General features: G+C 44.1%; 2 protein-coding genes across 26 annotated transcripts in view, besides 1 other annotated feature; both read left to right on the top strand.

Moving 5' to 3' along the window:
- The window catches only part of AHCYL2 (adenosylhomocysteinase like 2), a 205,182-nt gene extending 201,000 nt beyond the window's left edge, over positions 1-4,182 (top strand). For all 17 annotated transcript variants that reach the window (NR_171671.1, XM_047420088.1, XM_047420087.1 and 14 more), the window contains 2 exons: positions 414-534; positions 1,010-4,182. Coding sequence is in view for 16 of the 17 variants with exons in the window: in XM_047420088.1 (XP_047276044.1) it covers positions 414-534; positions 1,010-1,016 (128 nt within the window). In the remaining variant the exon portion in view is untranslated. The remainder of the gene's footprint in view (positions 1-413; positions 535-1,009) is intronic.
- Positions 8,283-8,762: a silencer, noted in NCBI's record as "silent region_18629". NCBI's record gives its function as "represses an Ori minimal core promoter by ATAC-STARR-seq in GM12878 lymphoblastoid cells {active_cell/tissue: GM12878}" and the evidence as "EXISTENCE:reporter gene assay evidence [ECO:0000049][PMID:35858748]".
- Positions 8,403-16,042, top strand: part of STRIP2 (striatin interacting protein 2) — a 53,968-nt gene continuing 46,328 nt past the window's right edge. For all 9 annotated transcript variants that reach the window (XR_927493.2, XR_001744840.2, XR_001744841.2 and 6 more), the window contains exons 1-2: positions 8,403-8,572; positions 13,993-14,062. Coding sequence is in view for 6 of the 9 variants with exons in the window: in NM_020704.3 (NP_065755.1) it covers positions 8,444-8,572; positions 13,993-14,062 (199 nt within the window). In the remaining 3 variants the exon portion in view is untranslated. The remainder of the gene's footprint in view (positions 8,573-13,992; positions 14,063-16,042) is intronic.

Below are 16,042 nucleotides of genomic sequence, written 5' to 3' on the forward strand. Positions count from 1 at the left end.
AGTTTTTCCATTCAAGTTTCCCCAGGCATTAGTTGTTTTAAATGACCCAAAGTATGGAGTCCAAGGCAAAACTCAAGTTGGAGCTTCCCATTATTTAGTTCCCACATTATCCTATTCCTTCTTTTAAATCTTAATGCCTGTTGTTTCTTTCATCTCTCCTGCACTTTTCTGGAAGGCAGGGTTCAAAGCTGAGTTAGTAAGGATGAATTATTAAGGCTTTGGAAAGCACTGGGCTTGAAGCTGAAGGCAGCTATTCCTTAGAATTGAGGACCAGTGAGCGAAGGTTGAACATTTTTCATTCAGCTCCAGGAATTAGAAGGTGTCTTTGAACTTTTTAAGGCCTAGCTTGGGGACAATAGCCATCAGATAAAAGGCATGAATGCTTATACCAGGGCTTCTGTGGTCTGTTCCAGATGAGTATGTGGCCAGCCTACACCTGCCTACCTTTGATGCCCACTTGACAGAGCTGACAGATGAACAGGCCAAGTATCTGGGACTCAACAAGAATGGGCCCTTCAAGCCTAATTACTACAGGTGCCTTGGGCTCCCCAGAAATCAGGGACACCTGGGCAGTGATGAGCTTCCTGCACTGGAATTGGTCTTTGCATCCCCAACCACATATGCTTACATGAACTCAGAAAAATGAACCCACTTCCCCTCACTGCCACCTTCAAAAGACTCTTCAAGGCCTTAAATAGTATTCCCCTTCCTGAATTTGCCTTTTGGAGATAGAGAGGTGGAGTTTGGGTAAGTGGCTATTTGCCTCATTAAATAAAGTTCCCCTTCCTCAATTCCTTTCCCCATTTCATCTTGTTGCTATGATTTTTATCTCTTTATGGAGAAATATTGGCCTTTTTCAATGATGTGAAAAGGAAACACAGTTATTTCCTGTCACTGTACACTCCAGAAAAGTCTCTGCCTCCCTGTTACACCTTTAGGCAGGCTCTTCATGTCCCAGCATCCCCATTAGCTGATAACATCACAGTCTCATCTTTCTTTTTCCCTCCAGGTATTAAGTTCCTGTAACTCAAACCAGAATTTTTAAGGAATAGAACTCCAAGCCTTTTCTCCACTACTATACAAGAAAGAATTCAGCAAGCTGCTTCTCCAATCAAAGCTGCCTGCCGTGCTCACCCTGTGTGTTAGGTTATTTATTTATTAAAATCAAGAATCCTGTGCCTGTAGTGTTGGCCCAGAGTGTGGTTACTGCCCTGAGGGCCATGAAAGCCACAGAGGATGGGCTGAGGAAGGAAAGAAATGGGGTTACTGCTCCCAGTGCATCATTTGCATCATTCCCCATTGACTGAATCCTCAGCAGTGGCCGTTTTTCCTCTTGTCCAGGCTCACGAGTTAGTCCAGGGATTCCATACTCCCTATTCCCTGGAGTTTTCTGGAATAAATTTTCAGCACCTGCTTTTCTCAGCTTGGCCCTTCCCCGGGTGAGGCCGTTTGGAATTAACATGGCCAGTGTTTCACACAAGATTGGGTTCCCAATCTTGACCATCACTATCACTGCCTTCTTTATATAAAGGCTAATAAGGAAGGAGTGTTATTTATGGCTTTGCCAAGCTACATCAAGAACTCAGCTGTGCTGTGCCTACCAGGGGTCTCCTTTCTTACCCAGGACTCCTTTCTTCTCCTTGAATATTTATGTCCATTTTAACACTTCCTGGTTGCAAGAGGGATGTGCCTCCATTATTTCCTCCACAGTTTTGGTATTTGTCAGACATTTGTTCTGCTGTCTTTCTAATCCAGCCAACGTCTGCTCAGGAAGTGGGGCCAGCTCCACTGGGACCCATAGTTTTACTTCCTTGTCATTTGATTGGATAGTTTCCAAGGAAGCCCCTCCAGATTGGCACTATCTCAGAAAAGGAGAGCTTGTTGTGAAACACTGCTTCCTGAAACTTCCTGCTATTGCCTAAAGCTACGTCTGAAACTGAGTAGGGAAAGGCATACTTTTCCAGGGACTTAGGGGGATAGGCTTTGGAAATGGGACAGGTCTTTCAGACTCACAGCTTGATACCCTAACAAAGCAGAGTATATTTATTTGTTTCCCAGGAAGGCCATTGCAGTTTGACTGGCTGAGGGATACAGAGATGAAATTGTAAACTGTATCCAGATTATCAAAGCTAATTTGACTAGTTTGAACCTCGTCAGACATTCATTCCTTTGGCCATTGCCATGGATGAAACCGAGATCTGCAGTCTGATCTGTGGACTTCTCTGCTGGCATATCTTTTATGATTTAACCTCTTCCATTTGATGATTCTGTATTTCAGAGTCAGTTTCTTGAGTAACTCCAGTGCTACAAAAAGAATTAGTAATGTGGTGTGGGCAGCGTGACATTTTATGTCCCACCCAAAAATTGGATTCCTTTTGGAGACTGATCTGTTGGTCTCAGGCATTTCATTAGGACCAGATTGGTTCTAAGAGTTAGTCTGGACTGGCCCTAGGAAACTTGAATTAAATAAGCCTCTTCCCCTTACCGATCCTTTTTAACACTCTCAGGTTTGTTTGTTTCCCACTTTTTTCCTATGCTGGTCTGCCTCAAAGTCTCAAGACCAAGGTGACTCAAGATAACACCAGACCACGCATGATCACCAAAACCTTCCCATCCTGATTCTCTTCTTCTACCTCTACCCTCTCCAACTTCTCCTGGTCTTCACATATACTCTCAAAGCTAGTCTGAAAGTGACCTTACTTTCGGAAGTAGGGAAGTGGAACTTTGGTAAATGACTGTTTGCCTCATTTAATAGTATACAGGCTCAGCCCATAGACTACAGTTCTTCAGAGGCCATATGTCTCAGCAAGTACTGGTTATATTCTTTTTTTGTAAGGAAGATCATAAATGCTAAAAATTCCACTAAGCCATTCAGTTCTTCCTTTTGCCTACCTAGTCCTGATTTTTGTATTAATTGGTTCCCTTTAGCAAGGGATTCAGATCTTTGTACCTTATCTTATATCCAGAGCAGATTCCATTTGGCAGATAGATGGTCTCTAGCCTATTGTATTCTTAGACCAAAAATCATAACCTGCTGTTTCTCAGCAAAGCCTTGCTCTCTGGAGCTTACTATGTGCTGGTACTTAAAGAGTACATTCTGCCTTGCTGTAGTGAAGAGACCCACTCCAAATAAAAAAGGGGCCACACGGGGCTTCTAAGTTAGGTTGCCAGTGTTGCTGCCCATGATGAGTTATTTGCCTCTGAGTTTCAGATGACCTCTCTGTAGGGACACTGTGTTATCAACCATTAAGAAGAAAGAACCACAAGCCTCCCAAGTATTTGGGTTCTATCTTAGGGTTGAAATCTGGTCATTATTCCCTCTACCCTTGGAATCAGAGCAATGTGTCTTCTTTCCTCCAACCTCTTACCTTAGATGCATCCTGGTTATCTGGAAGCATGGGAAAGAAGGCTACTTATCTCTTTGTATGTGGCTCCAGTCTGTGAGGATACATAACATTTTCTCTACAATGAATCTGTGCTAATATTTTGCCTTCTTTCTTTCTTTTCTTTTCACCCTTAGAGACAGGGTTTCACTATGTTGCCCAGGCTGGTCTCAAACTCCTGGGCTCAAGCAATCCTCCTGCCTCAGCTTCCTGAGTAGCTGGAACCACAGGTGTGTGCTACCGTGCCTGGCACTTTTTTGCCTTCTTAATGGAGATATTCAGTTTTCTTTTTTTCATTTAAACAAAGAAAAAAAATGTATCTACTCTACCTTCCCTCTGCTCTCCTCCCTCCCTATCCTACTTGCCCATATGAGCACGGCTCCCCATGGCCACATACTCCTGCAAAGCTTTTATGCTGCTTCGCTTTTCTCTAAACAGATCTGATATTGCTGCTCCTGTGGTTTTCTCAAAATTAACTTTGCCGTGGTTTTTAAAAAGGAATCAAAATGCATTGTTGCATTAAGCTTTTTCAATAAAGGAAAATTACGGAAGGAAAATAGGCAACACCAGCAAATTATATGTGGACAGGTTCTAAACTCTATATATACATATATATATATATATCTATATATCTATATACGTAATCATCTAGTTCTGTCATCTTACTGAAAGGAATAACACTTCTAAAGATCACCATTTCTGAGAAGTTCTTGGAAATCTTTATGTCTAAGTGATTGTATTAGATCAGCAATAATGACTATGTAATCTCAAAAAACAAATAAAATATTCTTAACATGGACTCTTAAGGGTATTTCTTGTTTCTGTGAACTAGAAATTCAGAGATGAGAGAGATCTCTGGGCAACAAACTAGAGATCCTGCTGTAGGGCAAGGATGTGAAAATGTTACCAATGGGCATGTTTGACCTTAGGATGTGAAAATGTTACCAATAGGCATGTTTGACCTTAGTTAATAAATATCATGTTCCCCTCCTACCAGCCAGCATACACGCGCATCCTGGCTGTGTGTGTAAAGAACCTGTCTTCTCAGAACCACCACCCTGGGGAGTCGAGGACTGTAGGCTTAACTCAGAGAAACTAAACCATAGTTCTAGGTCCCTGACTCCCTTTTAGTTGAAAAATGCAGGAAATCAGCATCCCCCAGTTTGGGACCAAAGGACCTTGATAACTAGGACCTGATTATATCCAGCCAAAGGGAAGAAAGAAGTGCATCAGGCAGAGATTTGTCTCTAAATCAAGTTGCCTGATTTAACCAAAGGATAATCCAATTGCCTATTCTTTCTCAACTGCCAGTAGGGTAACCATCTTTGGGTAGCTTTCTGATAGCCACCTTCTTTAGTTGACTACCTAAACTAGTTCTGCATCCTGTATGCAAGATGTTTTCTTTTCATAGCAGAATCTTCTGCCACTTTGGCTTCTGATTATTTAGATTAAGGGACACAGGGCTAGAATCGTCTGGGCAGTCAGTAATCCTCAAAATTAGTGCCATTCCAGTTAAGAGGAGGAGAATGCAGCAGCTAGCAATGAAGCCGGTCAGCTCAAAGGATTTGCTCCCCTGCAGTAGGGCTTGACTCCTCATTTGTGAAGGATGGAACCTTGGGTGCCTGGGTCTTTATTTCAGAATCATAGGGTAAGCCCAAGCTATCCACTGCTGCACAAGTTTCTCCACCTCACAATATTGTGCAAAAAAACTTGAACTTTAAAGCAGGCTAGCTTGGGTTTGAATCCCAGCTCTGCCATTTACAAGTTATGTAACTTAGTCAAATTACATAACCACTCACAGCCTCAATTTTCTTGCCTGTGAAATGGATACTGCTTATCTCCTAGGATAAGGATTTAATGAAGCGATATATAAAAAGTGCTGCTTATTTACAGAGCCTGGCACGCACTGCTGACTGCATACACATCATTCCTTGTCTCAATCTAGAGCCCTACAACCTCTGTTGCATCATTACACCCACACCTGCCCTTTATGGAGAGAGGAGGGTGTTCTATCCTTTTTTTACTAAATTATCCTAACTGCCTGATAGCCTCAAAAAGCAGGTACTTTAAAACTTACTGCGTCTTATTAAGCTTTCTCAGTGCCAGGTGCTATCCATTTAGTCAAGTATCTGACCTCTGTGGATTAAAGTGGAGTGCTTATATGGGGAAAAGGGTATATGTGATTCTTGTAACTACACCTATTTATACCTCCAACCCTCTGCTGGCAGCCTGAGTTTTGGGACAAGGGAAATTGGTAATGTAGGTTTTTTAATAACGTCAAATATAACAGCATTGGAGCCATCTCTGCAAGATGGAGAGACTTGACCAGCCTTGACTAGCTCCCAGGTATGGGTGCCTCTGTGGTGAATGGTATTGATGACTATGATGCCTTTGTTGACAAATAAGCTAAAATAAATTGAATGTGTGCCAATTCCATGGCCTGTAGTTTCAAAGTTTTCAGTTACTCTGTGGTTTCTTGTTACATCTTCCAGTTGTTTCCAGATATCTTCCTCCTTATTAGAAATTTTGAACGTCTGGGCCTATAGTGAGCACATAGGTGTCTGATCTTAGTAAAGGTATTCTATTTCGCTGAGATGTGGAAAAGATCATGGATTGAGGTCTCTCCTCGTGTTGACTCTATGCAATCTTCATAGCACCAGTTTTACACATTCCTTCTCTGAAATTAAAGCCAGATGGAGCCTCTAGGCTTAGCAAGTGGCTTTAGATAGCCACCAGAGGGGACTTGCAAGCTGTCCTCTATCCTACTCCCAAGATCAGTCTGCCCTTTCCCCTAGGAATAGGCAGGAAAAGAATAAAGCATCAAAACTGGCCACTCCTGTCTGCTACCACTGTTGGGATCCTGCCGATTGATTAGGCTCACAAAAGAATATGAAGTTCTGGGCCTGTTAACCTTAGGGCTCTGACTACTTAGGAGGAGAAGTACTGGGAAGAAGAGAGATAGAATAATGAATTCTTTCTATTAAGAAATCCCAATGGGCTGTGCTGTGGCAGGTTTACCACACTGAAGCAGTGATGAGCAAGGCGTGGGTTGTGAACTTTAAAGCAGGGTGTAAATTTTTAAGAGTTTAACAAATTATACCCTGAAAAAAATCCAAAGTCAAGTAGTTCAGGCCTTGAGCCAGGGACTTTCTTGGAAATTCATATCAATTCAGTTCTGTAAACGCCACACTCCCCACCCCCCACACCCAGCCCCCCGCCCCGAGACATTTTTGGTTGTCGCACTAGCGGGAGGATACTACTGGCATCTAGTGAAGAGAGGCCAGGTATTCTGCTAAGCATCCTACGATGCACAGGACAGCCCCCTACAATAAATATTCAGCCCCAATTGTCAATAGTACAGAGACTGTGAAACGCTGCGTTAAACGTACATAAATTAGGGGCATACAAAAATGAGCTAAATTTGGTCTTACTCGCTAGGAGCCTATATGTGGGTGGGGAGAGGAGTGGGACTGGAAGAGGAAAAGGAAGATGTGAAGGTACAGTAAGGAGATATTGGACCAGGGTGAGAAAACCCAAAAAGCTCCAAAGAGTGCTCTCAAACTTGCCTTGTTCTGTCGCCTATGAACTGGCAAAGGGAAAAGTGAGAGAGAGAGAGAGATGTTAAGAAAGGGACAGGGTTGTCCCTAAGGTATGGGAAGGTGGAGTAATTCCTCTAGGCCCTTTGCTTTGGGTATATCGTGGAAAATGTTAGGATTTTGGATCTAGGCAGAACTGGTTTGACACCAACACAACCTGAATGAGTTGAGGGCTAAAAGGAAAGCTTTGTGGAGGAGGAGGAGGTGACAACTAACTAGAATCTTTATGAGAGAAAAGGAATCAACCAGGAGAACAGAAGACAGTCTCCTCCAGAGAACAGCATAGGCAAGACCCTGAGACAAGATAGAATATGATACCTTGGAAACCGCAGGGAGGAATCTGCAAGTGCCGGTTTCTTCATCAGTAACATTGGATTCGTAAAAACACCCTGTCGGGGAGAGGTATGATGTGATATTTGGAAAGCGCTTACTGCAGTGCCTGGCACCAAGCTCAGTTCAACAATCCCCCAGACCCTTCCTAAAGCAACCAGGCTGGGGACAGCGATTTGGTCCCACCTGTTCCCCTGAGCCTACGTCTTTGGGGCTTCTATTACCAAGCCAGACTGTCTAAATATTTACTACAAGCTACTTTTTAAATTCAGGAGAGGGCAGATCAAACAGCCTCTTTTGCCCCCAGTAACAATGAGCCCTTAGGAAGCATCTAAGAGAGAGGAAGGAAAGAAAGGACTGGCGAGCAGGTGAGGGTGGGGGCTTGCTCTACCCTCAACATTTACACACCATGAGGAAGAGGCCCCCTACAGCAGAGAAGGGCAGATGACAGGAGCAGCCCTCGAGGGCACCACCAATTTCAGTGATGGAAAAACTCCCCCATCCCACCCTTAGACCTCCAGTCTCCCAGCCAAGCCCTAGCTCCGGGCGAGATGCGTTCTCTTCAGAAAAACGCTGAGAATTCTCAGCTTCCAGAGACAGCGAGTCCCTCGTTTCGGGCGATGTCCCTGGCCACCTGGCGGTGCCATCCCTCCCCTGAGACTAAGCGGGATATGGGACGTGTGCAGGAGCCGGGATATGGGGGGCCGGGTCGGTGGTAACAGGGAAACGGAGACTGCTGTGGAGCAGTAGGCGGAGACTAGAGCTCCGGAAAAGGTCGCTACAGGGACGGGGGTGAGAGCTGAGAGACACCGAGTGAGGAGCACAGAGATAACCCGCCTGATCTCAAGGCCCAGCTTTCGCGAGGTGTGGAGCCTGTAGCTAACCTAGGAGTCTCCGTCCGCCAGCAATGCCGCAGGACTAAAAAGATCCCCTCAAAAATCTCTTCATTGAGCCCCCACCTCCTCGAGTCCCGCTCCGGCCGGTCGAGCAGCCAATCGCCTCGCGGGGCGGGGTTGCGGCGAGCTGCCGTAACCAATAGAGGTGGAGGGGGCGGGGCCTGGCTCCCGGCGCGCGGCGGTAGGGTCGCCTCCGGCAAAGCGAGCTGAACCCTGAGGGGAGCCGCTGACCAGCAGCATGGAGGACCCCGCCGCGCCTGGGACCGGGGGCCCGCCCGCAAATGGCAATGGCAACGGCGGCGGCAAAGGGAAGCAGGCGGCGCCCAAGGGCCGCGAAGCGTTCCGAAGCCAGCGGCGGGAGTCAGAGGTGAGGAGCCCGGAAAGCTTCGGCTGGGGCCCGGAGACGCCCGCCGGCGGGAAGCGGCGGCTGAGGTGATTCGGCCTCGGCCCCGGAGCCCTCGGCGCGCTCGATCAGCCCCGCGCAGTGGGCGCCTGCGGGGTCCTAGCGGCTGAACTCTGGGCTCTTTGGCCCGGACCAGTGTCCGCCCGTCTCCTGCCGCGGGTTGGGGGCTTTCTAGCCCTCTGGCTTTCCCCCGCTGCGCGAAGATGAGCGCGGTATTGAGCGGACCAGATACTTTCCAAATATTTATCTCACTTAATCGCTGCAGCCCCCTGAAGCAGAAATTCCGATCCCAGTTTATAGACGGGGGAACAGGAGCGGAGAGGTTAAGTGACTGGCTTGAGGGGTGGGAGGCTGGAGCTCAGCCGCAGGAAAGCAGGATTGGCGAGTGGGGCAACCGCAGTCCCCCTCCCAGGCTGCCTGCGGCGGGCCCCTGGGCCAGCCGAGGGACTTCTGCCCGTTCCCTGCCCGTCCCCTTCCCCCCGTAAGTCTTAGGCCGTTTCGGGAGCGCCTTCCGCGGACATCAGGCCCCTGCCTGTGAGGGCTGAGCGAGACGGGATTCAGGCAGGGGCAGTCCTGGAGTGGCTATCTGGAGGGAGCAGTCGCAGGATACAGATAGGAGTGTGAATATTTCGATCTCTTCCTCCTCTCCTGAAAAAAGAAACCCTATCTATGAAGATGAAAGCGTTGAATTATTATCACTTCCCTATCCCCTCATTGAGGCAGTTCCCATCAGTTGGATCTGAGCGGGGATCAGAATAGACGACAAAATATCAGATGTGGCAGGGTCTGCAGATATCATCTGGTATAACCCTTTCATTTTACAGACCTAAAAAAAAGAGGAGTGACTTGCCCAAGATCAGACATCTGGCATAGTTGGTGGTCAAGAACACCAGACTTTGGAGTAGTCAGACCAGGTTTTGACTCCTAGCCCTATCATTTACTACCTGTGTGATTTTCGGCACATTACGGAACCTCTCTGAGCTCCAGTTTCTTCATCTGTAAGATGAGATTAACACTGCCTACCTCAGAAGGTTGTGATAAAGTCAAAATGAGATAATTGACTATAAAATGTTTGGCACAGTGCAGGCACAATGCATGTAATTAGTCAGTACATAGTAACTCTTAGTATATTGCTATCATCATCATCATCATCATCATCAAGTGGCAGAGCTGGTACTAGAAACCAGGTTTTTGGCATCCCAGACCTTGCCTTACCATTTGAATAGCATTTCAGTTTCCAAAGTGATTTCATGTATGCTTTACATTTTGATGTAGGTAGAGTAGGAGGAATCCATTCATTTTTTTTCAAGGTAGAAATGGAGATGAAAAGACTGGCCCAAAGTCACCACCTTGCAGAGGCAGAGAGCTCAGCCCTCCTGTCTTGCTAGATGATACCCGCCACATCATCTCCCTCCCTACTTCAAGATGAGTCTGGTCTTTTAGGGCACCCTGTACCTCCTTCCCCCACAGAGACATTGTTCTCGTTCAAATGTTTTTTTGGGGAGATGAGCCATTCATTAATTCAACAATTATTTATCGAGGACTTTCTGCCAGCCACTGTTTTAGGTGCCAGGGATATATCAGTGAACAAGATAGGGTCTTCGCCCATGGGGAGACAAATTGTGAGTAAATAAATAAAATAATTTCAGAATGATATGTTCTATGGGGGGAATAAAAGTCTCTGCCTGGGTCTCCCTTCTAAAGTTGCAATCTGTTCCCCACCTGTCAAGTCTTCTTCAGGCAAAGGCTCTGAGAGTACAGTCCTTTGCTTTTGCCAGTACTTTGCAGTGTCCAGAGACTCGAAAGCTTTCCACCTGCACCGCGGTTTACCTGCTGATTGTCTGCAGCTGCACTCTTCATGCCTGGAAATGAACAACTGCTGCGATCATCTCTATCTGGGCTCATTGCCTGCCAAAAGCCTGGCTGGAAAGATTAGCTTTCCTCTACCTTCTGCTGCAGCAGGACTCCTTTTACCTGCCAGTACATCCCCTATTACCACAGTACCCAGGTGCCAGATCTGCTTTTCTTCTCTCCCTCTTTTTGCTTTCCTGTGGAAGGCAGTCCTTAGAGGAGATGGGATTTTTTTCCTCTCTAGGGCTTTTAGAAAATCACTAGAAGAGAATTACTGTGGCACAAGTCAAGAGAGCCTCATCGTGTATCACTGTTTATGGAAGCACTGTTGACCTACCTTCTCCCACTGGCTTAGTGTGTGAACATCCCAACCTAAAAAGGAAGCTAAAGAATAATTGTTTGCTTAATAAGAAGAGTCTTAACCTAATAAAAGGATTCACCTCAGACCTCTTTTAGCCAGATCTGGTTTATTGATCTCAAACTCCTTGACAAAGTTTTAACTGGTCTGTGGTAAAATGAGGAAAATTCAGGTCATCGAAGTGAGTTTTTCTAAAAATTTAGTTCAATATATTAAATTTAAGAATGTATACAATTTAAAACAGTGTTTTTCAAACTGCTATAGGGGGCAACCTGTTAATTGAGGCTAAAATTTTTATTTTAAGAAATAAAGCCAGCATGATGGCTCATGCCTATTATCCCAGCACTTTGGGAGACTGAGGCAGGTGGGTAGCTTCAGCCAGGAATTCGAGACAAGCCTGGGAAATGTAGGCAGACCCCATCTCTACAAATAAATAAAAAATAAAAAAGATTTAGCCAGGCATGATGGTGCGCGCCTGTTGTCCCAGCTGCTCAGGAGGCTGAATCACTTAAGTCTAGGAGGTTGAGGCCGCAGTGAGCTGTGATCATGCCACTGCACTCCAGCCTGGGTGAGAGGAAGACCCTGTCTTAAAAAAAAAAAGAAAAGAAAGAGAATAATAGAAAATATCACTGCATCACATGCAGTAAAGGTAAATATTTTGTTAAACTTTTGTTCCAGTTTGTGTGTGTGTGTGTGTGTGCTGGGACGTAATGTAAAAGGTATCATTTTTCCAAAAAGTTTGAAAAACAATTTTTAATGGCTGTTCTTTATTCTGAGATTCTGTCTTTCATTTTTTGAATTTTTTAAAGTTTTTAAAGTCCTTACCTATCAGAATAAAACAGCAACAACCCTATGTCATTTGCCACTCTCCACCTTTTTCTTTTTCCCTACTGTTCCTTTTAATCCAAAAGTTTGGAAATCTTTGCTATAGTGGATTAAAACATGATTCGCCTTGTTTTTTTTTGTTTTTTTTTTTTTTGACAGAGTCTCACTCTGTCACCCAGGCTGGAGTGCAGTGGCGCAAACTCGGCTCACTGCAAGCTCTGCCTCCCGGGTTCACGCCATTCTCCTGCCTCAGCCTCCCGAGTAGCTGGGACTACAGGCGTCCGCCACCATGCTCGGCTAATTTTTTGTATTTTTAGTGGAGACGGGGTTTCACCGTGTTAGCCAGGATGGTCTCGATCTCCTGACCTCGTAATCCGCCCACCTCGGCCTCCCAAAGTGTTGGGATTACAGGCGTGAGCCACTGCGCCCGGCCAATTTGCTTTGTTGACAGTATAAATTGGCATAATGTTTTGGGGGAGCAACTTATATACAAAGAGACTTTAAAATGTTCATAAGATTTGATTCATTAATTTTCTTTATAAAAATCTATGCTTAGGAAATATCCTAAATATAGAAAAAAGTGTAAGTCTATTACAGTTTGTTGCATATAATAAAGGAAAATTAAAAACCATTTAAATATTCAATAAGGAACTAGTTAAGTAAACAAATAAATGTACATCCATTTATACAACCATTTAAACTAATAGTCATAATAATGTGAGAAGAATGCCTTTATAGTATAATATTAAAATCATAGAGTGACCACTCACATAGTGCTACGAAGTGCTAGGCCGTGTGCCTTTCCTATATTAACTCATTTAGTCCTTAAAATAACCCTATGAAGTAAGTCCTGTTATTATCCTCATTTTACAGATGGGAAAACTGAGCAGGTCATTTTCCAACAATTCGCTGACACCAACTGGATGTCCTACAGTTCAATTCGATTCTGACACTAACTACCTAGAATTAGCACAGACCCCCAAGTTAAGGGCTCAGTCCTACAAGGCCCTACGTTAGACACCAGCCATAGGTGGGATCCCCAAGCTATCTACACTTCAGCCTGGCCAACTACAAATTAAGCGGTTATCATGATCTTCCTTTCAGGTTCCATAATTTGCTAGAATAACTCACAGGATTCAGGAAAGCATGTACTTAGAATTATAATTTTATTATAAAGGATATGACTCAGAAACAGCTAAATGGAAGAGATGCGAAGGACGAAGTATGGGTTTGGGGTGATGCAGAGTTTCCTTATCTTCCCTGGGCAGCACTCTCCTAGCACATCTGTTTGTTCCCCAACCCAAAAGCTGCCTGAACCTAGTTGTTTCTGGGTTTTCCTATGGTGTTTCATTACCTAGACATAATTAAACTATTGGCCACATGACTGAACTTAATCTGTAGTACCCCTCCCCTCCCTGGATGTGGGGGTGGTGCTGAAAGTTAAACCCTCTAATCATGTGCTCCGTCTTTCCTAACATAAGTCACCTCATGAGCATAAATTCTGGTAAAGCTGACAGTGACTCATTATGAATAACTGACACTCCTATCACTCAGGAACTTCTAAGAGTTTCAGGAGCTCTGTACCAGGAACCAGGGGCAAAGAACAGTATATTTTTTATGTCACGCTGAGGCACAGAGAGGTTAACTTGTCCAAGATCAAATAGTATGTGACAGAGCTGAGATTGAAAATTTTAAAAATTCATATGTATGAACATATACAGGAAGGAAATATCCCAAAATGTTTAAGTTAGAAGATGGGATTATATTAAAACATATTTACTAGGATTATAAATTTATACATACAACGTCATGGGAAATGTAATCTTTACTACAACTTGGAGTGGAGATGTTGCATCATTTGACAATCCTAAAGTTGCAGAATATTAGAGCTAAAGAACCTCTTTAAAAATAAGGAACTATGATCCACAGCATGAGACTTGATCTATATCATACAGTGGGTTGATGACAGAACTGAAGCTAGAATCCAGTTCTCTTTGTTTCTGTCTGTCTCAATTTTATATAAATCAGCTAGATGCTCCTCTGGTCTGTGTTCATGTAGATTAGATATGGACACAGACCATAGCTTTCATATATGTTTGAGATCCTGGCCCTTTATTCAGACTTTCCGATTTTGTATAGGAATCCTCAGCCCCTCCCCACACTGAGACTCAAGTTTTGGCTTGGCGTAGGGTACCTCTGAGATGAAAGACCCAAATAGGACTCTCCTAACTGTCTCCCTGATCTAACCTTGGCCTCCATGAGGGGAAGAAGATAAATAAGGGTACAGTCTTCCCTTGGCAACCCCTTTTTCCAAGTTATCCCAGTTACCAACAAAATTTCTCTGTTACAGGGCTCTGTGGACTGTCCCACTCTGGAGTTTGAGTATGGAGATGCAGATGGGCATGCAGCCGAGTTGTCAGGTATGAGGTAGATGGGTCAGTAGCTAGTGGAAGAATGGCCAGGAGGAGAGGGAAGGGGCCTGTGATCTCCCTGGAAGCTTGTCTGTTCTCACCAAGTGGCTGTTGAACAAAGGCTGTTCTCCACATTCCTTTTCCTCTCCATCCAAGTGGTAAATATCTCTTTGTTTGTCTTCACATTTCCTTCTGTGATTCTCCTTGGCTATGGTATTCTTCATTCTGTCATTCTATCACTCTTTCCTGCTCACTCTTCTTTATTCTCTTTGAAAATAACTGATTTGGTGCACTCTCAAATCAGTTTTCTCTCCATCTTCTCCATATTCCTTCTCTTTTTCTCTTCCTGTCACCCATATCTTTGCCTGCCTACTTCTTTCTGCTGCCCTCTTTCTATCCCATGCCATCTCTTTTTCCTTTGTCTCCTCTACCTCCATCTTTTCCTTCTTCCTCTCGCAACTGCCCCTTATTAAAATCTCAGCAAAGTCCGAGGAAAAACTATAGTCAACTGGCCAGCTGAGCAAGGCTGGACATGTCACCTGCATCCATCATAGTAGAGTTCTGCTTGGATGTTTATGAGCTGGGGTTAAGTAATTCCATTCTTCTTTCAGTGCTGGCCTGCTTGTCTCTGTCTGGATTTTTAGCTTAGGGTAAATGTGATCTCCTCACATTAAGGGCCTCCATGTTACATGTGCTATGAATGCCAGTTATTAATAAACAAGCTTTGGGTGGAGATGTGTGAAATTTAAATATTCTGTCACATGGAAGTGATACTTTGAGGCATGCTTTTTCAGAGAAAAGAGACAAACAATTTTAAAGACGTTCTTGTGCATGAGCACAGAGAATAAATTTTGTGATGAGTGACAGAGAAATAGAGAGCTAAGTTTAATAACCAACAAAGGATTAGAATTCATAATAGGAATATGATATAAATATATATATATTTTAAAGAGAGGAGAGAGATGAGCAACCCAACAAAGAAATGGGCAAAGAATATAAATGGGAATTTATAGAAGAAAAAGCCAAATGGTCAATAAATATATGAGAAGATATTGAACTTTATTAGTATATGGGGAAAAGCAAATTAAAATAATAAAATATTATTTCACAATCATCAGAGTGCAAAACTTAAAAGCCTGGGGTTGGTGAGGGTGCAGAGAAATTAGTACTTTTATGCACTGCTAGACATGGGGGGAGCAGAGTATAAAATTGAAAAGCATTTTGCTTATATCTTGCAAAGTTGAAGATGTGCACATATTGTGACCCAACAAGTCTACTCCTAGATATCCACTCTAAAGAAAATTACACTTGGGCACAAGAAAATGTACAAAGATGTTTATTGCAGCCTTGTTTATCAGTGTAAAAAGTTGGAAACAACCTACAATGCTCATCAGTAGGGAAATGGATAAACTATAGCATATTAGTGCAGTAGGCTATTGAATAGCCATTAAAATAATAATTGATCTAAATCAATATATTTATTTTTTATTTTTTTATTTTTGAGACAGAGTCTGGCTCTGTTGCTTACGCTTGAGTGGCACACTCTCAGCTCACTACAGCCTTGAGCTCCTGGGCTCAAGTGATCCTCCCACCCCAGCCTCTCAAGTAGCTATGCCTATGGTCATAGGCATGCCCTACCATGCCCAGCTAATTTTGTGCCACCATGTCCAGCTAATTTTGTGCCACCATGTCCAGCTAATTTTGTTTATCTTTTGTAGAAACAGAGTCTCACCATGTTGCCAAGGCTGGTCCTGAACTCCTGGGCTCAAGTGATCCTCCTGCCTTGGCCCTCCAAAGTGCTGGGACTACAGGTGTGAGCCACCACACCTGGCCTCAACATGTTTCAGTATCAATAAATGCTTGGCCAGGTACGGTAGCTCACATCTTGTAATCCCAGCACTTTGGGAGGCCGAAGTGGGTAGATCACCTGTCAGGAGTTCGAGACCAGCCTGACCAATATGGTGAAACCTTGTCTCTAGTAAAAATACA

This window comes from Homo sapiens, chromosome 7, assembly GCF_000001405.40.
Source record: "Homo sapiens chromosome 7, GRCh38.p14 Primary Assembly".
NCBI lineage: Eukaryota > Metazoa > Chordata > Mammalia > Primates > Hominidae > Homo > Homo sapiens.